Source organism: Homo sapiens, chromosome 11, assembly GCF_000001405.40.
Source record: "Homo sapiens chromosome 11, GRCh38.p14 Primary Assembly".
Taxonomy (NCBI): Eukaryota; Metazoa; Chordata; class Mammalia; order Primates; family Hominidae; genus Homo; species Homo sapiens.
In genome coordinates this window covers 130222460-130248114 of record NC_000011.10, presented here as the reverse complement: position 1 = coordinate 130248114, position 25655 = coordinate 130222460, and the positions used below count along the sequence as shown (strand labels likewise).

At 37.4% G+C, this 25655-nt stretch overlaps 1 protein-coding gene across 24 annotated transcripts in view; it reads left to right on the top strand.

The window, feature by feature from the left end:
- Positions 1-21438, top strand: part of ZBTB44 (zinc finger and BTB domain containing 44) — an 88241-nt gene extending 66803 nt beyond the window's left edge. For 4 of the 24 annotated variants that reach the window (NM_001370222.1, NM_001370219.1, XM_047426841.1 and 1 more), the window contains 4 exons: positions 8219-8303; positions 9508-9671; positions 11022-11322; positions 13842-21438. In NM_001370222.1, the coding sequence (NP_001357151.1) occupies positions 9656-9671; positions 11022-11322; positions 13842-14124 (600 nt within the window). In that variant the 5' untranslated portion in view covers positions 8219-8303; positions 9508-9655 and the 3' untranslated portion in view covers positions 14125-21438. Of the gene's footprint in view, positions 1-8218; positions 8304-9507; positions 9672-11021; positions 11323-11898; positions 12006-13841 lie in introns of all 24 variants that reach the window. The other 20 variants (NM_001301098.2, XM_047426844.1, XM_047426848.1 and 17 more) reach the window with 16 other exon arrangements.
- Positions 21439-25655: the final 4217 nt, after the last annotated feature.

Here is a 25655-nt window from a genome sequence, read left to right as displayed (position 1 = left end):
TGTCTTTCTAGGGATAGAAAATATAATGTTTAGTGTATTATTTTCAAATTTCCAAAATAATAATTTGATTATCCATGAAATTAGTTCAGATAGGATTTTACCTGCTGTTTTAAGTTCCTTTTGTTTCCACTTGCCCATGGAAAGGTTGTAAAATTCAGTATCAACTTGCAGCAAATAAAAGCAATAAATACAACAAATTTAAAGGAGAAAAAAGACTGCTGGTTTTAGGTTGGGCCTTGTTACTTAAAAAGATAACTCTCTAGTCCTTCTAACCCCATCCCCACTCCTAGGCAAACCACTGTAAATATTAATAGTTGCCTATTCTGGATATTTTATATCAGTGGGATCATGAAATACGTGGGTTTTTTTTTCTCACTGGCTTATGTTTTTACCATAATGTTTTCACAGTTCATCTGTGTTATACCTTGTAAAGTTTTGAAATGGTTTTGCCAGTCAGAGATCTGAACTTGGCCTCCAGGGCCAGTTCAGATGAACTAATCCAACCTATGTTCATCCTCTCATTATCGTTTATTTCTCTTGTAGGCCGTTAACACAGCAGGCAGGCAGGCAGATGATCTTCAGAGCAGGTGTTAGCCTAGAAAACAGTTTCACCAAGGAGCAACACAATCTGAATAACCAAAATATTTTCAAAAGACTGTTTCTAGGAAAACAAAACAAACCTGACAGTGAAGGGCTTCATTGAACTATTTGAGCTTAATTCAGCATGAACTTACATCCCAGCCAAGGGCAGGTGGCACCTCAAAAGGGATTTTATATCTGCCCTCTCATCCAGGATCCCAGGACGAAGCAACAAGGAATTTAGCTGAATCTCAGTGGATCTTTATTTCTGCCTGGGCCCTATAGCCAAAGACCACCTATGATTGAACAGGTTGAGTTTGTTGCTCATTTGCAACAAGGGAGATTATACACCATGGGGTTTTTAGGGCTGGTTGTCAGTAAGAAGGTGTTAAAAAGGCCTTAGCGCAGGATTTGGCCTTGTGTTGGGTGATTTCAGGGATGCTTACTCTCCATTAGGGAGGGTTCAAGGAAGTGAGGTTTGCTCAGGACTGGTGATGTCAGAAAGGAGAGAGAATTCTGTTATTGAATATCTTAATAAATACTATCTAGGAATGCAGACTAAAGTGAATCTATAGCAGTAGTGACTCATTAGCCAGCGAGAGATGGGGATGACTGGTATGTTTGTGATTGCACAAATAAAAGTGTTTTTTAGTCTCGCTTTAAATAAGGGTCACAGAGTGACTTGATTTTATGTTGTTTTGTGAGACTGTTTATGTTCCCCAGGAGAATACTGTGGCTGTAAGGACCAGGCCCCACCCCTAAATGAGTGCCAAGCCTGTTTCTGAATGTTGGAAGATGTTTCTCTTTTTCAAGTATAAATTGAGATCTTATATTGAAAACCTTTTAGAACAATGCCTGGCACATGGTAAATACTCAGTAGGAGATGACCACTGTAATTGCTTTTCAATTCCAGAGGGATCTTTGTAAGTATCTTGAATACCTGAACAGTGGCAGCAGCAACTTGAGTTTGATGCAACAGAAGCTATCATACAGCACTTCTAATTGGGGAGAGAGTCGACTCTGTCTTGATAAGCTAGCCCTGACCCATATAAAGCTGATTGTCTCTGTGAATCAGTTTTACTGTTTCACAAGGTGAAAAGTGTCTGACCAGAATTCTTAGCCTCACTACCACTGAGAACAGAATCCCTATAGGGTAGAAAGGAAACTTCATTTTAATAATTTAAGAAACATCACTGTCACCTCAGGAAAGTAATATTGTGCATATATATGTGTGTGTATATATATATGTGTGTGTGTATATATATGTGTATATATTCTGCTGTTAAATCAGTTTAACTGAAATTCCAATTCATATGATTACTTGTGTTATTTGCAAAAACCATCATTTCAAGAAAAACAGTTGCACAAAATTTATTTTTTGCTGATAGTTGCATAAGTGATATAACACTATGTGTTTACCTCCACAGTATACATAGAATTCCAAAAGTCTGTTTTAACTCATTTTAGCTTGGAGTGGCTTTCATTTTTAGCTGTTGGTGCATTCAGTAGCCATGGGTGAGGGAAAATAGTTTTGCTTTGCTTTGCATGCTCACTATCCATTGAATCAGGGGATCTAGACATTTTAGAATGTAGAGATGGATTTGTTTTAAGAAGGGCCATCTGCTAGATGTATCTTGTACTGCATTTTAGTTCTTTTCAACCAGCTTTTTAAACAAACCTTTGACGGTACTAGAATCGGTCCCAGACAGTGTGGTTTTTATTCTCACCTCACCAAGAGTCCATTCCCTCCTCGAAAGAGTATGGCCTGCCTGATAGTGAGAAGCAGATGCCAGTCTTCTTGGCCTACCCTTCTCACAACCTGATAGTGAGAAGCCGATGCCAGTCTTCTTGGCCTACCCTTCTCACAACCTGATAGTGAGAAGCCGATGCCAGTCTTCTTGGCCTACCCTTATCACAAGCTGATAGTGAGAAGCAGATGCCAGTCTTCTTGGCCTACCCTTATCACAACTCCAGGCGTTTTGGGGCAAGCCTTTGTCTGTACGCTTTAATACTGTCTGTGCTCTGAATAAGTTCAGAGCACCGTCAAATAGGTCTTGATGTCCATGGGACCAACGCTAAATACTGGTGTTTTTCCAGTTTCTTAGCCCAGGACTGATTGAAAAGTTAATGTTTATTTTTCTTTTCTTTAAGGAAAAAACTGAGAATGGGAAGATACTGACAAGTAAACAGTTCTTTCTTAAAATGCAGCATTATCTGGTTCTCTGTCCTACATCTGGATTAAAAACAAGTCAGAAGAACCTGGGAGTAACTTGCATAAGTAGACATAGGGGAAAAGCAGGAATGCCGTTTGATAGAGAAAGAAAAAGAAAAGACACACACAGAAATGCTACACATACACCAGAAGGGATGGAATGGGGAGACCAGAAAGAATGGGGGTGCAATTGGGAATGAATGTAAACACACATAGTCCTGCGTATTTTCAAAAGCCTCAGAGTATACCCAAGTATTAGAACACTGTATAGTAATGAGTGTTCTTTATGATTGTGGTGAGTCATCAAGAAACAAAAAATAAGTTCTATATGGTGTCCTTCATTTAAGAAGTCAAGGCAAAATGTAACCCTGTCACAAGTTTTCCAGTACAAGTGATTAAATAAAGTTTGGATGCCTTAAAATTTAGTTTTTTAAAACGCTTTTTACTTAAGTGGATGATGTACCTGTTTCCTAATGACAGCAATTCAAGTGTTCCAAAGAGGGAAACTTAAGTATTAGATTCCAAATCTTCATCAGAAGGAAATTTCATCCCGTATGTTCATTAGCAGATGATACTTATTAAATGTTCACATGTATGTAGTGGTGTACAAACTGTTACAGTTAGTACATTTTCTTTCTTTTTTTTTTTTTTTTTTTCCAGACAGAGTCTCTCTCTGTCGCCCAGGCTGGAGTGCAGTGGCGCAATCTTGGCTCACTGCAAGCTCTGCCTCCCATGTTCACGCCATTCTCCTGCCTCAGCCTCCCGAGTAGCTGGGACTACAGGCACCCGCCACCACGCCCGGCTAATTTTTTGTACTTTTAGTAGAGATGGGGTTTCACCGTGTTAGCCAGGATGGTCTGGATCTCCTGACCTTGTGATCCACCCACGTCGGCCTCCCAAAGTGCTGGGATTACAGGCATGAGCCACTGCACCCGGCCACATTTTCATTTTCATTAAAATATTATAACCAAAAGCTTGTTTGCTATTAAAAGACCGAAATTCTCAGAGGCTCAGATTTGTTCATTTGGTGCAACACAGCTGGTTTGTGTTCAGTAAAGAGTTCATTACCTAATGAGAATAAGCTAGGTTGTTTGAGTCTACTGTCCCACCACAAACAACAAATTTTAAGTTTTTAAAAATTCACTTTTAAACTGTTTGAAAAGCTGAAAAGATGGCCAAGGAACTGCAAGGTTAAATTAGGGGAGAAAGCCTGGCCCAGGGAGGTAAGTAGATCATCAGAGCACTAAAATCAGTTTTGCCTTTAAGACATTTGCCAAAACACAAATGGGCTTTGGTTGATCAACTCAAAGAGCAGGAGAAATGAAACTGAAAGCTCAGAGTGTGTAAAAGTTGTAAAGTCTTAGAAAAGTTGCCCCACACGTTAAGCAGGGAGCAGGTTTACATTAGAACTAAACCTGCTCCCTGCTTAATGTGTGTATTGTAACACGTTCCTGATTGGTAATAATTTAAAAATCCTGCAATACCAAGTGTTGGTAAGGATATGGAGCAACACAACTCTGATATACTGCTAGCAGTGATGTAAATTTAGTACAATCATTTTAGAAAAGAATTTAGTATTTTCTAATAAGGTTGAAGATAAATGTATTCAGTGACCTAGCGGCTCCATTCCTACACATATACCACTTCCATTCCTAAGTATATACTGTGGAGAAAAGCATGCTCATGTGCATTGTCCTTTGGGATTGTACTGTCAGAACTAAACCTGCTCCCTGTCCTCCAAACTCCAGGGGACTGTAGAAAAACCTGCCTTGGCAATGAGCGGACTAGAAAAGGAAAAAGAGAGGAAAACACATCCCTGAGAAGTTACTGCTAGACCACTTACAAATTGTTACAACACAGACTTTGAGTGGGTAGGCCAAGGAATCTCAAACAGTGAATCTCATATAGCTAATGCTGCCCAGGAACCTAGCAGAAGCAAACATAAAACTTCTCTGGAAAAGGGCATTATGTATCCTGACCTCAGCAACTCAATTTCCTACAAATAATTTTCAAGGGCAATAACCAGTCGAAAAATTACCAGAGCACTCAAGAAAACAAGGCAGAGAGAGAACCAACAGGAAAAAAAAAATGTGTTTTTTAAATGCAGCAGAAATATATTGGCATTGCCACTTGGCGTAGTTTTCAAGCACAGATATAAAGTAAATATGCTTACTGTATTTAACAAAATAAACATGAACAATAATTGCAGAGAACAGTAAACTATAAAAAGTGACATAGCAGATTTAAGGAGTACCAAATGGGACTTTTAGAAAAGAAAAATGATAACCAAAATTAAAATCTCCGTGAACATTTTGGCAGCACATTGCACTCAACAGAAGAGAATTAGGAAATTAAAAGATAAACTAGAAGAAATTACTTCAGTGCTACACAGAGAGAGACACAGTGGTGGAAACTGCAGTAGCAAAGAGGAGAAGGGTGCGGAAGACAACAAATGTAGGTTTGATGGAAGCTCTAAAGAGAGAGGAGAGGTTGGCTGAGAATTTTCCAGATTTGATGAAAGACACCAGTCCCAAACAGGAATAGTAAAAAGAAACACAGACCTAGATACATTGTAGAGAAAATTCAGGGAAAAAAATGTAAAAAGACATTACCTTCAAAAGAATATGACTTTTTACCACCACCAGAAACCAGTGGGATGATATCCTCAGTGTGCTGAAAGAAAATAGCTCCCAGTCTAGATTTCTACACAGGGTAAAAATGTCTTTCAAGAATGAATTATATTTGAAAAATATATAAATGAAATATTTATATTTGAAAATAAATATGTTTTCAAACAAAAAGAATTGATCATCAGCAAATCATTGCCAAAAAAGTTATAAAGAATGGACTTTTGGCAGAAGTGAAGTGAGCATAGATGAGTGGTTTCATTTGCAAGAATGAACAGCAAAGGCAGAGGTAAATGTGAGAACATGTATATATGATAATGTTTGTGGGGCTTAATCAGAACAAAGAAGTAAAATATCAGACAATTTGTAAATGGCAGGATGGAAGTGGTGGGAAATGGAGTTAAAGCTTCTAGGATCTTTGTATTATCCAGAAGGAAGTAAAGGTTTTAACTTTAGACTTTGGTAAACAAAGTATATCTCTAATTTCTAAGGCAACCAATACAAAGAAATAGGAAAATATTGTGTAACTTCTAAACAAATAGAAGGGGAGAAATGGAATATTTATTTCCACTTGTATTCAGCAAGCTGATTCTCAAATGTATACAGGAATGCAGAAGTCAAAAAATAGCCAGAATGTTCAGAAAGCAAATGAACAAGGGCAGAGAACTTTCTCTACTTGATAGCAAGATTTATTATAAAGCTACAGTAACTAAAGATTGGCATTAATACAAGGACAGATAAGCAGATGGAACTAATAGAAAACCCGAAAACAGACCTATGTATTTATACATGACATACAACACAGGAGGCACTGCAGAGCAGAGAAGGCAGACCTTTCATGACATTCGGTCACAAAGTCAACTCCAATGGGTTAAAGAAAAAACATAAGGCACAAAACATGATACTTTTCATAAGATAATTTCAGACAGGGAAAGATTTTTTAAAAACAAGACCAAAAAGCCATAACAATGAGAAAAGGATTAATTAAATTAAAATGTTAAACTTTGTTCATCAGAAGAAGCCATTAGAAAGGGTGAAAAAAAAAGCCATGGGATGGGGAAAGATATTTGTAGTATGTATCACTGACCAAGGGCTTATATACAAATTGTGAAAAGAACTCTTATGCTAAAAAGGCAGACAACTCTGGCATTTCACAAAAGAGGGAGGAAGGGAGATTCCGTAAATATGTGACACTAGATTCACCCCAGTAGTTATAAGGGAAATGCAATTCAAACCACCATGAAATATTGTAAGACATACACCAGGTTGGTAATAATTTTAAAAACCAGTGGTAATAACTTAAAAATCCAGCAATACCAAATGTTGGTAAGGAGGTAAGGATATGGAGCAGCACAACTCTGATATACTAGCAGTGATGTGAATTTAGTACAGTCACTCTGGAAAGAGTTTAGTATTTTCTAATAAAGTTGAAGATAAATGTGTTCAGTGACCTAGCAATTCCATTCCTACATATGTACCACCTCCATTCCTAAGTCTTTACCATGGAGAAAAGCATGCTTATGTGCATTAAGGATATTCACAGCAGCATTGTTCTTAATAGCCAAAAAACTGTCCATCAAGAGTAAAATGGATAATGATGAATATTATAAACAATGAAAATAAACTTTGGTTACACGTAAAAACGATGAGTCCACAATGTTGGAGGAAAGAAGCAAGACAAAAGAATACATATAGTATGACCCGGTTTATATAAAACAGCCAGACAACACTAAAAAGTATTGTTTATGGCAAGCCTTGGCAAACTTTCCTTTAAAGGCAAAATGATAACTGTTTTAGACATAACTGCCACATGGTCTCTGTCACAACCAAAAGCTACTAAACTCTGCCACTGTAGGCAGAAGCAGCCCTAGTCCAGCCAAAGTTGTGTTCCAGCAAGAACGAATACCTACCTTATGGATACTTGTATTCAAGATAAAATTACTTTTAAAAGTGAGAGAATGGGAGGAGGAAAATGATAACCATAAGAAGCTTTTGGAGAAGGGAGGGGTTTATGATCAGGGAAGGATGAATGGGGACTTCCAGGATGCTGGCCGTGCTTTCGTGTGGCTTGTGTGTGGAGGTTGCCTGGGTGTTCACTTTATCTGTTAAATTCTGTATAAAAGTTGTGCAACAAGTTGTATGTCTTCAATAAGTTTTAAAAAATAAGAATTTCAGTGTTTCCTTAAATGGTTAATTACTCAGTTTTATGTGGATTTTTGTTCGCTTTTGAATTGCCCTGCTTGCTTTCTGAAATGTGTCAAAGAAATATTTCTAAAAGAACTTAAATAGTAATATAAGACTATTATCTTACATGTGGTTTTTCTTTAAAATCACAAACATTTAAAAATATAGAACACGGCTGGGTGCGGTGGCTCACGCCTGTAATCCCAGCACTTTGGGAGGCCGAGGCAGGTGGATCACAAGGTCAGGATATCGAGACCATCCTGGCTAACACAGTGAAACCCTGTCTCTACTAAAATACAAAAAATGAGCCGGGCGTGGTGTCGGGCGCCCGTAGTCCCAGCTACTCGGGAGGCTGAGGCAGGAGAATGGCGTAAACCCAGGAGGCAGAGCTTGCAGTGAGCCGAGATCGCGCCACCGCACTCCAGCCTGGGCGACAGAGCGAGACTCAGTCTCAAAAAAAAAAAAAAAAAATGTAGAACACTACTTTGGATTAATAATTCAGGATATGAACACTAGATAATATATGTCAGAGGCTTAGATATAATATAGCTTTCAGTTACAATCTTGGCTTATTCACACCAAAGGATTACAGTGGTCCTCTTTCTCTTATTCACAGGCTCAGTAGATGAAGGCGTTTCTGAGGGCTTGCCTACACTTCAAAGCACGTCTAGCACTAATGCTCCTCCGGATGATGATGATCGGTCAGTACTAACATAGCATTTCGTTACCTCTTAAGGGTTGTGTTTACAACTCCAAATTCAAGCATTTCATCTCAAGAGTTGTAGAAGTTTATTACAACCTCACTTCAGTATACTTTTCAAAGTAATGAAGTAGCATCATCACATTATAAATTAGAGTACCTATACAAGGCTTTTTTTTTTCCCCAGCATTTCCAAAACTACCTAGTCCCATTGCTTTAAATCGTATCTGTACCAAGTGTTGGCAAACTATGAACCACAGGCCAATTCCAGCCTACCACCTTTATTTGTAAATCAAGTATTACTGGAACACAACCAGGCTCATTTGCTGACATATTGTTTGTGGATGGCAGAGTTGAGTGGTTGAAACAGACTGTATGGTGTGCAAAGTCAGAATGTGTGCTGTACGGACTGCTGTGAAAAACATCTGCCAAAGTCTGATCTGTATACCCATAACTCCCTCCCTGCTTGATATTTCCACATAAATGTATAAAGGGCATTTCACATTTAACAAGGCCAAGACAGAACTCTTGATTTCTAACTCCTTGTCTGAATCCTGCTTCTCCAGCCTTTCTCCCATTTCAGTAAGCATCATCATTATCCCCTAATTTCTCAAGCAAAATCTCTGAGGATTGTTCTTAATCTTTTTTCCTTACCACTCTTCATCTCCCTCGTAGTTAATCCTTAAGTCCTGTCAACTCTGCCTATAAAATATATCCCTGTCTACTTTTCTAATCTGTACTGTAGCCACCCTACTCTAAGTCACCACCATCTTTTGCCTTGACTACTGCAATAACCTTCAAAGTAGCCTCTGATTGCATTCTTCCCCTAATCCATTTTCCATGTAGCAGCCAAAATCATCTTTTCTTTTTTAATTAAGTCAGATTATGTCACTGTTTTAAGCTATAGATTCTTAACATTCTTTATTCATACCTAAAATCTATAGGCCTTGCTATGCCTTCTAAAGCCCTACACGATATGACTTCTGCCTAACTCCGTCTCAAAAAATAAAAAAAAAAAACAAAAGGCATTCTGGACATTAACATTGTTTTTCATATTGTTAAAGTAAAACTTGAAGTCTAACAGTTAAACTGTTTCAAAAAGTCTTTAAGTGTTTTATCTTTTTTCATTTAAAATTGACCTATAGCAGTGTTTATTCAGTTTAAAAATCAGAGCCTGGTTGCCTTCTTTGGTCTGTTTTTTTTAGATTGGAAAATGTTCAGTATCCCTACCAACTCTACATTGCTCCTTCCACCAGCAGTACAGAGCGACCAAGTCCAAATGGTCCCGACAGACCTTTTCAGTGTCCAACCTGCGGGGTGCGATTCACCCGTATTCAGAACCTAAAGCAGCACATGCTCATCCACTCAGGTAATGTCACCTTCCCTGTTGGTGCGTAAGTGAACGCTCTAAAACATTTTATTTTGCAGTCCCAGTTAAAATAGAAAACAGGGGCTTCTGAGTTTTAAAAAAAACTCTGGGAAGTCAAATGAAAACAGATTAGCTAAGGTTTATTGCTGAAATGATGCAGTGTCAGAAAGCTGCTTGCCACGGGTGTTGAGTATTCTGATTAAAAGAACATAAGGTGATATGGAGTGAGTACTTTGTAAATAAAAAGACATATTAGGTGTGCACATAGAGGTGAGATAGAGAATCACAAACACAGATGGTAAAGCAAATAGGGTTAAAAGGGTCTGTATGGGTGTTCTTTGTGCTGTTCTTCTTATAATGTCTCTTTAAGTTTGAAATTTTTCCCAAATAAAAGTGTGTTTAAAAATGTAATATTTTCTTGCTAATTTACTTTCAATTCTACAGTCCTAAATCTCTGTGTGCCCTGATGAGTCAGCTTTGTAGTTTGTATTTTTTTAAACATAACAGAGATTTTGGATAAATGTATAGAGGGGATTTGAAATTTTAGTTCAGTAATCACATGAAGGCAACAGGATTCTTGTGGGTAAAACACTGACCTCTGACGAGTAAGAGATCTTTGCTGCTGTTTTCAGCTGCGTGAGTTACTATCTCACTTTCCCCTTCTGTAGATAGGTCTTACAGTCCCTGTCCTAGCACCAATTCTCTGTGACTTTGTTCAATCCGTAGACTGTGTTTTGAAAGGTTTTAAAATTTTTTCCCCAAAACACTGTGATAATGAATTTGAGGAGACTATTAATACACTTTATAACTCATTTATTTCTATCAATATTACATCATATTACCCAAAAAAACCCATTATATCAAATGATGGTTCTGTCATGCTCATTACATTCAGAGATGTTAAAATTGTTCTTTCTTCTCGTTTCTCTGTGAGATAGGGAACAGAGAGTAGGTACTGATGATTTTCATATCCGTTCAATGTAAACCTCTAATGAAATGAAATAATATGTGCTGTTAGTGGGGATTTGGGTTCTGTCTACATACTGTAGTTAAATTGTGTTTTGAAGTTAGTAAAATAGATGATCTAGAAAAGCATTCAAAAATCAGCTTCAGTAGACGTTACCTAGTTTGCCTCCCCTACTGCCTTTTTTTCTTTTCCTTTTTAAGCACTTGTGACTTTTCACATATTCTGCACATTTTCTGAGATACTCAATTAGAATATGTTTTTGCTGGTAATTCTTGCCTTTTCAGATGATCTGTTGCTACAGAAATATAGTTCAGAAATTTGTAGGGTTTATGACTTTTCAGTTTATTTTTGTTTTTAGATATTTTGTTTTGCTTTATTTACAGGAATTAAACCATTTCAGTGTGACCGCTGTGGGAAAAAGTTCACCAGGGCTTACTCGCTAAAGATGCATCGCCTAAAGCATGAAGGTAAACGCTGTTTCCGGTGCCAGATATGTAGTGCCACTTTCACTTCCTTCGGGGAATATAAACACCACATGAGGGTTTCCCGGCACATTATCCGCAAGCCTCGGATTTACGAGTGCAAAACATGTGGCGCCATGTTCACCAACTCTGGAAATTTAATCGTGCACCTGAGGAGTCTGAACCATGAAGCATCAGAGCTAGCAAACTACTTCCAGAGCAGGTGAGGTGCACAACGAAAACCCAACCAGGAAAACTGCTTTCTAAACTCTCTTTTCCTGCTTTTAGGGCAGCCTTCTGTGTTTTTACATCAGGTTGCCAGCTAGTCAGTCACATTTGTTACGGATTCCCACTGTTCATACTCTAATCTCCTGATCTGATAAAATTTTGCTGAGTCTTCTACGTATATAAAATTATAAACATTTTATAGTTGGTATTAAAAATATTTTCCTGCAGAAGTAGACTACTTGTCCTCTTGAGATATTTTTTAAATAATACAAGGTTTAAGTAATTCTGTAATGGACCTTAAATAGATCTTACTGGAAATTTTACCATGTCAGATGATGCTTAGTGATACTGGATTACTCCAGACTCTAGATGTTAATAAAATTCTTTACCACTTCTCTCTATTTAAAAATATTCTATATAAAGGAATAGCCATTGGCCAGTAAGAAAAATTTCAAAGGCAACTATAGTGGGTGTGATGGTTTAGATCATGAAGTCATTGCTATTTTCATTCAGTTTAGAGCTCTATTCTTGTAATATTAATTTATAATAGAATTACCTTTCTGATTTATAGGGCATCCCAGGAAATCAGCTTCTAGATCTAGCTCTGCCACTAACTGCTGTTGATTAAACCTGTCACTTTACACATGAAAAAGCTTGAAACTTAGAGAAAGATAAAATGTAAGCTTTAAACGATGGTTTCTAAGGCCTTCTCTAGATATAAAACTGTTGTTTTAAATTGTTTATAAGAATTGTACTTCTGTAGGAATCCTTAGTTTCTCATAAAATGAAATTTTTACAAATCTTTCTTTTTTTTTTTTTTGAGATGGAGTCTCACTGTCACCCAGGCTGGAATGCAGTGGCACGATTTCGGCTTACTGCAACCTCAGCCTCCTGAGTAGCTGGGATTACAGGTGCCCACCACTACACCCAGCTAATATTTGTATTTTTAGTAGAGATGGGGTTTCACCATGTTGGCCAGTCTGATCTCGAACCCCTGACCTCAAGTGATCCGCCTGCTTCAGCCTCCCAAAGTGCTGTGGGATTACAGGCGTGAGCCACCATGCCCAGCCCAAATCTTTACATTTTAAATCACCCTTATTTTTAAAACCTTTTTTTTTTTTAATTGAATAGATAGGGTCTTGCAGTGTTGCCCAGGCTGAAGTGCAGTGGCTGTTCATAGACACAATCATAGTGCACTGCAGCCTCGAACTCCTGAGGTCAAGCAGTTCTCCTGCTGGGGCTACAAGTGTGGGCACCACCCCTGACTTAAAACCTTATTTGTAAACAAATTCCAAATTATTCCTGCGTAGATTTTGTTTTTCCCTTCAAACCAGACATTCATTTTGTTTAATGCAGTCATCTCTAATTCTGAATGTGTGGTTGCCATATCACTAAACCTTAGGTTATACATATCATATTAAACATAGTTTGTTCAGGACTAAAATAGTGTTCCTGTTAACTACTCATGTTATCTTTATCGTCCCTGTACAGAGCCCTGTATTCTCCATTCTTCTTCTCTAACACCTGAATGAAGACTTTTTAGAAAATATAACATAGGGCATTCTAAATTACTTTGCAGATGAACAGATTTTAATTTTTTATTAATACTGAACAATGAAATTATAAAATAACCTTATCAAGTCTAAGTACATATATTATTGACAATTATGGTATAATGAAGTTCTTAGTTCAGTAATAAAGATTTAAATAAAGCCTCTAAGATAAGACTTATTTCACATACTTAGTTTCAATTACCAAAAGATGCTTATAAGTAGGAAATTTAGGAAATACAGAAAAGTATGAAGAAGAAATTTAAAATATTTTCTATTTCATCACTTAAGGAAAGTAGCCACTGTTTTTAGTATATTTTACTGTCCATGTTGCCTGTGGGGACCAATAATTGAACACGTTTTGAGGATTATCACATAACCAATCTCAAGGCATTCATTTCCAAATTCTTTATTAGTATTTTCATATACCAAATGTAATAGCAGGATACACATAAATTACTTTCTACATTTCCCAACTTTATAGTAGATTATGTATCAGGTCATTTATGCATAAGGACTTAGTTTCTTAACTAACCTATGTCAAGTTTAGTAATACAAAGCTAGGTTTATATATCTCTTACTCAATGTATAATCAAGAAAAGTTTAGCATTAAAGTTACTCAGATGATCTTTGTTTAAGTGAGCATGCTACATTTGTTTTGTATATAGAAACTCCTCTACATAGAACAAGAAAGGCTGTTAAGGTGTCCAGAGTTATAATGAAAGTGATAATTAACCTGATGTATTGGTGGTGGGGAAGATTGATACATTTTGGTTTTAATGGATGTTTTGGTTCATATTTAGGAAAGTTTATAAGTTGAAAGTTCCTGAGTTTTAATCTTCACTGAACAATTAGTGAAATGAAGAGTCCCAATTTTGTTGTATAAATCAGAGCTTTTTACTGTTGCTTATCTATTACTGGTTTGAAAATTAATTCCATATTTCATCCTTTGCCTCTTATCTAGTGATTTCCTAGTACCGGACTACTTAAACCAGGAACAAGAAGAGACCCTTGTTCAATATGATCTTGGAGAACACGGTTTTGAAAGCAACTCCTCTGTTCAAATGCCTGTCATTTCACAGGTCTCCTCAACCCAGAATTGTGAAAGCACTTTTCCCTTGGGGTCTCTTGGTGGGCTGGCAGAAAAAGAGGAAGAAGTGCCAGAGCAGCCAAAGAGCAGTGCTTGTGCTGAGGCAACCAGAGATGACCCCCCAAAATCAGAGCTGTCTTCTATAACTATTGAGTAGTTTTGTGATTTGGCTTCAGTTTTGTTTTTTGGAAAGTGCCTGTGCTTGGTCTTGTACATTTAAATTTAATTTAATTTTTTAAACAAAAAAAGCCGGGTGGGAGGGAGGGGGAGATTGGGAAAGAATTTCCCTTTTTACTTTCTGAGCCCTGAAACTGATTTTATTTTTCCTAACTGAGAGATTGCTTCTGTAAGTACACAATAACATGATGTTGAAACAGAAACTATGAGACTTAAGGAGAACTGGTTGACTTAAAACATATACCAGTTCCTTCTTCCATTGTTAAAAGTAGGCTAACAACAGATCATTAGCTAGAGAGGAAATCAGATGATTATTGACCTTCTTGAGACAAGAGGGTACATGAGAAACTAATTACTAAACAGCTTGACAAATGGCCTGAGTAGATACTTACTGCTGTACACAGGATGTTGTATAATATTTTGTAAAGCCTGTTGTTTTTGGAAGTATTTATGGTAAGCTTTCTTAAAAATTATTATGGTAAATACTTCTGAAATCCGGCGTACTTTTCTTTAAGCTTTGTCATTTCTGTTATGATTTTTCATGGTGAAATTTTGGTACTGAGATGGGCATTCTCTGTACCTTTATAGTACCACTCCAAAGGCAAGGAACCATGATTGACAACAGTCAAGCTGTGGATGAAATGACCAGGAACGGAGAATGAAGTATGTAAATCCCAGCTTCATAGGAACTCTTCTCATACTGCTTTTCAGATTAAAATTGCTGTTTACCTGGTCTCCGAATGTAATGCCTGACTGTGTCATTGCCCGGATCAGTTTTCCCCCTGCCCCATCAATATGTTCTCTTGCATATATTGGCGTGCTGCCATATAAAGTAAAAATACTGGAGATATTCTATATTTTATATATAGGTTTATGTGTTGTTGGGGATGTTTTCATTGTGCTCTTTTGGACATAATAAATAATTCTCTATTGAGGCTACATTCTTTTTTTTTTTCTTTTTTTTTAAAAGAATGGCATCTCACTCTGTTGCCCAGGCTGGAGTATAGTGGCTAAGTCATAGCTCACTGCAGCTTCGAACTCCTGGGCTCAGGCCATTCTCCTGCCTCAGCCTCTTGAGTATCTAGGATTATAGGCATGCTCCACCACACCTGGTTAACTTCATTTTTATTTTTTGTAGAGATGAGGTCTCACTATGGTGCCCAGGCTGGTCTTGAACTCCTAGACCAAGTGATCCTCCTCCTTTGGCCTCCCAGACTGCTGGGATCACTGCACCGGCCAAGGCTGCATTCTTAACCCAACTAGATTGTTTACTGAATCCCATATGACAGCGATACATTGTCCTTACATATTTATTTTTAGACATTGCAAAGTTATTAAAAACAGTTAACTATAGTTTTTACACAACGTAGGCAACAATGAAGAGTATAGACTGTAAGATTTTCATCTATGACTCATAAATCTGGGAGAAAAAAATTATTAAGACTAATGAGAAACTGAAAACCTTAAACTAATGAATATTATTTCTGCTGCTAAAAATATGAAACTTTCTGGTCTGTAGTTGAAATTTGTATGATCCTCTAGACTTGGGTATACTTTTCATCTGGTGCCATTAAAGCATCTCTAATATTGATCCTAAATATTTGTAAGTCCATGAGCAGTGAACTTTGGAATAAGTTTCTGTGTAGATACCCAAAGTTTAATAATTATGAGAGCACCTGATTTGATAGACAGAAAATACAGTTCTTTAGTCAAAACACAAGATCTGAATTTTGTTCAGGTGCTAGACCATACTAAATGTATATATTTTTAATTATAGTGATTTGTTTCATTTTTTTAGATTGGCTAATTCTGTAATTTTTTCCCCAAAAACATGTGAAGAAAGGAAAAGTAAATTAAATTCCTTAGAACTGTTTTAGGTTAAGATTCTCTGTGTCTGCCCATATTCTGCAGTCCTTAACTTGTTTTCAACTCTTTACCTCACTCATGAACTTGTTTTTACCCATTTGCTGCCAAACATAGGTGTGTTCCCTTCAGGAGAATCAGCATATACAGGTTATGATAGGCTCCCACCATTTATGCTTCTTCACTGATAGGGTTGCATTACTTTCTGCAGCAGACTATAATACTTCATATAGTACTGCTGTGTCTCAACTGGAAAGGTCAGGAATTTTAATGTTACGTTGTGGTCTTTGAAAACTGTTAGGCCTAGCAATAGATAAATCTCAAAATTAATTTTAAAATCTGTATTGACAAGAATAGGTAAAATTATGACCAGGAATCATTGTTACCCTTAGTTCCAAGAGGTGGTTTTTGAAAGAGCAAGAGGAAAGAAAAAAGAAAAGAAGGAAAGAAGAATAAAGAAGAGAAACGTGTAAGAATGGTTTGCAGATTGATTGGTTAAAAGTGTTTTTAGCACATCCCCAACCCTGAAAACTTCGCATTAAGAGCCAAGCACAATGTTGGTAGCTCCAAGATATTCTGACTGTGTTCTCAGAATGAGGGATTACCCATCACTGGGTATTCCTTCCCAAGTAGAAACTTTAGATTTTCACTGGTAATACACATTGCCAAGTTTTATGGGAAATCTGAATATACTGTGAAAATGCATATCTGGTTAGTTGTCTGCTGCCCAGATCTTATCAATACCAGTAACTAACCAGTATTTAACATAAAATGATACAAATAAAGGCCTTTTTCTATTTCAGTGAGGGTACATTTTTCTTGATATATATGTACTTTAAGGATATTGGATCTGTTTATGGATCTGTTTTAGGAAACAGATTTGCAAGGGATAATTGTATATATAGTAGTATTTAGGTTTATTTCAAATTCATCTTAGGGATGCCTAGATGCATAATTTTTACCAGGACATATTGAAAATATTGCAAAGAGATAGCCAGTTATATTATCCCATTCATTAGAAATTACCAGTGTAACTAAACATAAATATTCCAGTTTAGAGTGCTTAAACGTAGCTATCTTTCTTAAGGCCAGGAGGGTAACTTTGTGGTATCTAAAGGGCTTAAATTTCAGAATGCAGAATAAATTGCCTTTTTAAAACCAAGCATTTTGTACAAGCTTTTATTTTCAGTTTTTTAACTACCAAATAGGTGTGATGTACTTTAGAAGTAAACAAAGATGTTCACCCATGATAATGGATGTTAAAGCTCCTGCAGTTGTTCTTTTCGTGTTTAAAGGGTATATTCTAATAGTGGAAGCATCAAACATGTCAGTGATTTCATCTCATTCAGAAATAAAGAGATTAATATTGGTCTTTATTTTTTGGCATTTTAAGTTTTATATAAATGGATGCAGATGGAGATTATCACCCACAAATATATTTAAATGGATTTTTCTTAATTTGAATTTCAAGTAATCTTTTTATTTCAAGTAATTAGTTACGCATTTAGTTACATTGCCAGTTTTTTTTTTTTATCAATTTCAGTAAGACAAAATATACTAAAATGTTTAAATAGCCTCATTCAATCTTACATTTTGACATTTCAGCAATCATTCTGGCTTACAGTAATTAGATCCCCTGTTACGACACATGCCCTTTGTTCTTAATAACTAGCAAAAAAAAAAAAAAAAAAAAACTTTCATCTTGTTAAAATACTTTGCCAAATGAAATAGACTAGTCAATACATCTGATGTCCATAATTATTGGTAACTCAGTTACCTTCTAACTAATAGGCTGGTTCAGGAGACTCTCCCAGTTTATAAATGGTTCTCTTGGGAGCCTTTGGAAGCTGTATTAAATCTTTCAGTCTTTTATTTCTAATTTTTTCTCTTAATCTAAATAGAGGCCAGTTATCTATTTTATCAGCTTTTATTCTTGAAGATTCTCAGATTATGTTTTAGTCCCTTTTAGCTTTAATAGTCCTTGAAAAATACATTACTGTATAATGTGGCAATTCTGTAACAGAGACTTATTACTTGAATGAATAATCCTAAAATTTTAATATTTTAGCTGAAGTTTGAGATTTGTGGAATGAACAAAAGAATTAGAAACTTTCATATGTTACTTTGTTTCAGTCATCTGCAAAGTATGAAGCTGTAATTCTGAAATACACATCCAAGTGAATGAGAATTAAAAATTTTCTAAATATTAATACTAACTGGGAAAAAAAAACTAGTGTGAAGTTTACAGTTAGAAGAAACAGACCCAAAGTTGCCAGAAGGTAATAAATAAATGTAGTTTTCACTGTAAGTAAGTTATTGACGTAAGATGCTTTATTTGTAATATATTTAGATTTTGAAAGTTATTGAGAGATGAATGTATAAAAGCTAAATTTTCTTTTCTGAAGCAGTGAAACAAAATTGGGGTAACAAGGAAGCTCTGTTGTGGCAAACATGTCTATGAGGAATATTAAAACTAAGCATACTCCCACAGGCTTTAAACTCAAACTATGAACATTTAAATTAAGTTGTTCCTTATTTTGCCTATACCCATTTTTATCTTTCATTGTCGTTTTTGCTTGACAGTATGGTGACAGAGTATTTTTATTTGGAAAGTCCTCAGCAAGATGAATTAGCCAAAAGCAATAATGGTTCAGATTAAACAATAAAGTGGAATTGATTCAATCCCAGGCTCAACTAAGAACAGTCGCTCTCTGGATGTTTCATTTTAGACGATAGATAAGTTGAGATGTTGTAATATTTATGGGGGGTTAAGCCTGTGTCAGTTATGGGATGAAGACTTGTAGTACCAGTACCATCAGTGGTCATACTTTTTTTTAACTTTTTACTAAACTAATACAGTTAGACATTTCCACTCTATCGTGATTATATTTTTATGATGGGAAAATAAAAACACTTCCATGTTTTTATAAATAGTCTCTGCAAAGATTTCAGATGTTATTGGTATCTCGGTTTGGCAGTATCTGAAAAATTGAGATTGTCTTTGAAATGTTTGTGCTACTTTTACTTAAGTAAACCCCCACTGTGCAAGACCCAGGCCGGCTTCAGCTAATACCAAGGTTTCTGTGTGCATAATAGTTTACAGAGAACTTAAGAGTAAGGACTGCGGATTAAAAACAAAACTTTTTTTAACTTTAAAATTTTTAGTTTTTGTTCAAAGTACCTGGTTTATAAAGTCAAATTCTTTTATTAGTTCCTTTCTCGTTTAAATTGACTGATGTTGCTGATGAAGCTTAAAGTCCCAGGCACGGTTGTGGCGATATACTGATAAAATTGGTGCCTAGTGGTGGGAGGAGCTCCAGTGTCAGGACTTTTATTAAAAGGCCCTTGTTTTCCCAAATGCCAATCTAGCCACATTTAGATTTCATTATTCAATAAAACAGATGAAAAATCATCCCATAAATGAATGTTGAGGTTACCAAAGTACATCACCTGCTGAGGAAGGATAAATCTTCCTGCTTTAAGGGAGCCCTGTCATCTCTCCTCTTAATGCACGTTTCCCTTGGTATTAGTGGAAGCTGTGTTCAAGATGGGAAGCCTTTCCTGCAGTTCTTAGAAACACCTGCTTTCTAAGGAGAGCCTTTTCTAGGATTAGCTTATGTGTGTTTTCTCTAGGCGATTTTTTATTTCAGTTACCAATTTAATTTTCAAGTTGACAGATGCTGTGTAAAGTCTCTCATAATGAGAGTAGTCCATTAAATTGTTGAAAGTTGCACTGCTTTTCATCTTTCAGGTACCTGAAATGAGTGACATCAGGTATTTGGAAGGAGTAAGATCATAAACTGTATTCATTTTCTTCCTTGTACAAAGTGATGACTTCTAATGCTTATATCTCAAGGTATTTTTTAAAAAAGCAACGGTCCCTAATAGAGTAAAATTTGGTTTTGGTCCAAGTTCCCAATAATGTATTTAATGTTTCTGTTGTTTACTGGTGCCTCCCGTTGCATCAGGTAGAGATTGCCTGCCTCTTTGTAGGGCAGCCTTGTGGCACCTTATGTCCAACTTGGAGGATAGTATATGGCTTCTTTGTGCCTCTACTATCTTTTCAAAAGCCATTTTATAAAAATCCTAGGTAGCCTATTTTAATATTTAAATATATATATTTGTGAAAGAACTTTTAGAACAGACCTTTTCTTTTTACTTTAAAATTCCTGTATTTCCATTTTTAAGAGTAAATTTAATCTCCAGGATTTAGAAGTGTCTTTCCAGAGAAGCATAATGAGAAAGTCAGACTGAGGTAATAAGACCAGAATTAAGTGATAGAAGAAACTGTTGTTTGGTTAAAGGACACAGATTTGAAGGAAAAAAATTTTGATGTAACAATTTTTTAAATAAAATTTTGTTTTTCTGTAATGTCATATTTGCTGCTACAGTAGCTCAATATTTTACAGGGCTAACATAAAGCTGGCTCCATTTAAAAACTGGAGTACTTCCTAGTGCAGCCAGCCTAGGCGGAAACTGTACACCATGGTCTTCCAGATGGGTGACTGATGGCTTTGGGTAGCTGATGCATGCTTTAATATTTGCCTATAGCCCGGCAGCAAGGAAGTCGGGGCGGGGGGACTTTTTTACCCTGCCAGTTATAGCATTGTGATTCTTTCTGGGCACTGGCATTTTGTGAAACTCTCAAGGGAAGGTGATGCAGGGGAGAAAATGTGAATTAAATTACATAGATGGGTGTTTTTATGTCTTCTACCCCTTTCCTAGAATTAGTACAACTCTTAACTGTGCCAGTCCCCAGTTCACCAGCTTTGTATCCAGTCGTCATCTCATTCAAGTATGGCTTTACTTGGTGACACTGGCCATAGCTAAGTTAACTTGGCATGTTTGACTTTTGACAATAACAAAAATGGTTTTGGATTTTGTTTTATTTCCAAAAAATGTATACAATATCAGAACTTCACATTTTATATACTAGTATCTGGCTATTAGTATTTTACAGGAACCATAGTTCTTGGTGACTACATATATATATATATTTTTGTGACCTTTTTTGTAAACTAAGTGCCGTTTCAACGTTACAATCATTTTTAGGGTTATTGTAATCAATGTGAATATCATGTTTTTTCAAATCTGTTCTGAGCCTATAGTGTTTGCTTTGTGAACATGTGTATTGTATATATTCTGTATAGTTATATTGTACTGAAATTAGCTTGTTTGATATAAGGAAAATATGTATTGAGTACCTTTTTGCTAGCCTGATTGTTTAATCTTTTTAAAAAAGGTTTAAACTTTTTTTAAAAAAAAAATCTTTAAACTGGCCTTTATTACATGGTCACACATAAAGTTGCAGTTAGGAAAGGGATGGGCAGGGAAAAACTAGTTTTGAGTGTCTTTAGATAGAAACATGAGACTAAGGTTTGATTTTGTTTTCGTTTTCTCATTAAAATATCTTATGCTTTATGGAATAAAACTTCCTGCTGTTGTTATTTATTGTTTGCTGGGCGGCAGTGTTGCCTGCGGTCATGTGAGTGAGAAAAGGCATCAGAGTAATTCATTACTTAAATAATTATCTACTTAGAGTGCACAGAGTAGAGAGGGTTATATTAGACAGCACATGTCAATTTTTGGTGAAGTAGAGCTTAAGTGCAAAGATCTCACAAACACCATACCCCAACTTGGAAGGAGAGTATAAAGGCAGCTAGTTAGAGGACATCATCCAATCCTAGAGCTATTGAATCAGGTTCTTGTGTAAAGCTGGGTACTAATGGGTGGGTTGCATCTTTCAAAGTTGCTCTGATTCTTTATAAAGTCACATTTTATTGACTAGAGACCAATTGGTGCCATTTCAATGATATCTTACAACCAAGGAGTAAAAAGTGGGTACCTAGCAGGGGAAAACAGCTCATTACATAGGTATGAATCTATGAGATCCTGAGGAAGGAAAAGTTTTCTAACTTTAGATTCACTGATGTGGATTTTGACAATACCGGTCTTTAGAATGACAGTAACAGGCAAATAAAATTATTTTATTGACCTCAAGCTACCTGGATCATTTTAGAATTAAGTTCAGAGAGGAAGAGGGTAAATTTTAAGAAGCACACTCTTTCATTCCAGTGTGTCGAGCATTTTTAACAATTTACCAAATCATTCAAAGTCAGAAAATGTTGGGTTCTTCAGTAGCCTTGACCACAGATGATGTATATAAGTGCAGAATGAAGAATTCAAAACAGATATATCCTTGCCAGCCATGGTGGCCCACACCTGTAATCCCAGCACTTTGGAAGGCTGAGGGAGGAGGATCACTTGAGCCCAGGAGTTCAAGACCAGCCTGGACAACATAGGGAGACGTCTCTACCCAAAAAAAAAAAAAAAAAAAAAAAAAGCTGGGCCTGGTGACACGCACCTGTAGTCCCAGCTACTCAAGAGGCTGAGGTGGGAGAATTGCTTGAACCTGGAAGGTCAAGACCTGCAGTGAGCTGAGATTGCACCACCGCACTCCAGCCTGGGTGACAGAGTGAGAACCTGTCAGTTGGCTTTGCATACTTGCATATAAATTACGTACCAGAAAGATTCCTTTCAGAGAATGATACTAAAAGTAATGACCAAAGATGTGTATCTCAACTGATAGAGCAAAAAAAAAGTTTGGGCTTTTTCTCTTTTGAACAGGAATTTTGGTTCTAAGAACTAAACTGAGAAAGTTAAAATCTACAAACATACCAAAGGTTTAAAGGGGCAGAACTTGCATGTAACAACATCAAACCCCCAAATTTAATGTAATTCTTTTTTGGGGAGTTAACTTCTATACAGATAGAAAAACTAACACAGGGCATATTCAATCTAGAAAGTCAGTCCTCTTGAGCAAATAGATTTATAACTAGGGTTTGAACACCTTTATGGACAAAGGGAAAGCTGTTTTGTTGTTTTCTTAAATTCCAATTCATTTACTTGAATTTTTCTGCAAAATTAAAATTTTTACACCTATCTGTTTTGTAGATGAGAAAGTGGAGCTAGCTTTAGCATCGTTTTGCAAGGCTTCCTCACTTCATCCCATGCCCTTTCTTCCACACCTGCCTAATTTTTCCCATGACTAACATTTCTGGCTGCCTTTGGCTGGAAGTCATTTAGTGAGTGTCTCATTTACCAGAGATCCTGAAAGTTAGGCTCAGTACCCCACACACACCCCTAGTAAAGGGCCAGCTCAAATGACCTGGCCTTTGATGATTCTTGACATCTAGAGACCCTCTGTTGACAAAGTTGCCTTAGGACATAACAAGAAAATATTACACCAAATAAATGTTCTGTAGCCCGTTTTAAATTGGGGCTCAGACAGAAATGCTGACAGTTCAACAACAGTACATATAGTAGGAACTGTGTACCTAACTTTCATCCAGGAACAGAATTCTTTGTTGAGTGCAGATGATTTACAAAATTAGTAAACAGTCCTTTTCTGTTCTTTTTTTTTTGAGGTGGAGTCTCACTGTTGCCCAGCCTGGAGTGCAGTGGTGCGATCTCAGCTCACTGCAACGTCCGCCTCCTGGGTTCAAGCGATTCTCCTGCCTCAGCCTCCCAAGTAGCTGGGACTACAGGCGCCCGCCACCACACCCGGCTAATTTTTTGTATTTTTAGTAGAGATGGTGTTTCACTATGTTAGCCAGGAGAGTCTCCATCTCCTGACCTCGTGATCCACCCACCTCGGCCTCCCAAAGTGCTGGGACTACAGGCGTGAGCCACCGTGCCTAGCCTAACAATCCTTTTCATTTTGTTTTACGGTTTATAAACTGCTAGCACTTTTTAGCTATTTGATCTTGAGAAACCCAGTAAGATAAACAGGAAAAGTACTAACAGATGTGTGATCCACGTAAACGGTGCCCTTCCTGCCCATTACAGGGAGAAAGATCCACTGAGAAATCAGGCCGTGAACAGGGCTGGAGTCTCAAGAGGTATTGACTTGGTGGAGTCTCTGTGGACTCGGCTCTCTCCCAAACACAGTTCCTGGAAGAACAGGAATTGGGGTTCTTTTGTGCATTGGCACTTTGTGAAACCTTTGAGGGAGGGTAATGCTGGAGGGAAATGTGAATTCTCTAGGTGGCTGTGTCTAAATTACCTTAAAGGAGAGCCATTGTAACTTTTTCTTACGGTGTGAAAGGAAGTGCTCGTGACCATTTTCTAAAGATGTGCACTGGTCGATTTTTTCTCATGTGCTGTCATCTATTTAATACCTCCACAGGGTTATCCTTCACAGCCCTGTTGATAACATTTTCCATTATTCATCCCTGCTGCTACTAGCTTCATCCGAGCCTGTGTTGTTTCTGGCCTAATAACAGCACCAGCCTCCTTGCTGCCATTCCCTCCCTTCAGCTGGGCTTCCTTCCAGTCCATCCTTGGCATTGCTACTGCAGTCATCTTTCTAATCAGGCCACTGCCCTGCCGAAAGCCTCCTGCCCCCCACTCCCCCGGAACCCGCCCCTCAGCCCTCACACTCCCCTTCTACCTGCCTCGGTTTGAGGTTGACTCACTCCTGTAGATTCCCACAGTAGATTTTGTTTGCCTTTACCAAACCACTTCTCAGCCACACAGCCTTGCAAAATCTACCTCAGAGGAGTTGTGAGAATCGAGTGAGTTACATGTAAAATGCTTAGAACCATGCCTCGTATGTTGTGACCACTTCAGAAGCCTCATCTGTTGATTACAAGACTGGCATCACGCTCGCGTGTCTCCCTCACCTGACTACATTCTTGAGATCAGGGAATATGCCTTCTATTTGTGTGTCCTCTGTAGTACCTGGTACAGAGAACTCAAAAACTGTCAAAGGAATGATTAAATGTTGCCAAGAAGTGGTCATAAGCTCCATGTACGACAGTGCTTACAGGTACTTACCCGGGAACTTTAGGACAGAATACCTAGAATTATTTTCATCAGACTGCCTGATGATTAGCCTCAACTCTCACTTCAGCAAATGTCTCAGAGTCTCACTCGTTTTTAAATGAGGGTCTGAAATAGGCTGTAGGAGTTATGAATTAATACTAACTTTAATCCTCAGAACAACTGCTATCAGCCTGGCTAGACTTTCCCCGAACTGTTCTTTAGGACACTGGCATCTGCCGTTTTTCTCCCCTTCACCTGGTTTCCTCATCCATTAAGTTCATATTAAGTATCCCTTCTTAAGGAAGCTCTCCCAGAGCCTTTCCTGCTAGGTTGAGACTTTGTATTATGTTCACATAACATCCTGCGCTTCTATTACTAATGTAACTGACTAAACAGCTGGACTAAACCCCATTACATCAAGTTCCACTAGGACAGTGACCGTATCTGTTTCTTGTACCAGGGGGTCCCCAGGCCCAAGGTTGTTTGAATGAATGAAGTCTCTGCCCTTAAGGAACTTATGGAAGTAAGCAGAAGTAAAGAAGAATTACAGAAATACAACTGATAGAAATAACTGATTGCCCTGAGAGAAACACCAAAAAGTATACTTTGGAAATTTGAAGAAGTGGGAGACCTGGCTGGAGGGGTGAGGGAAGGTAGCATGGCAGAGGCACCACTTGAGCTGGGTCTTCCTTGGGAAGAGATGTAGGATTTGTACAGACAAGTGACGGAGAAGGAGATGACTCCGGGAAGCAATACGCAGCCTCAGAGGTTGAGGGAACAGAAGGAGTGTAGCTTGCTGAGCCTTGCAGGATCCCTGAAGGG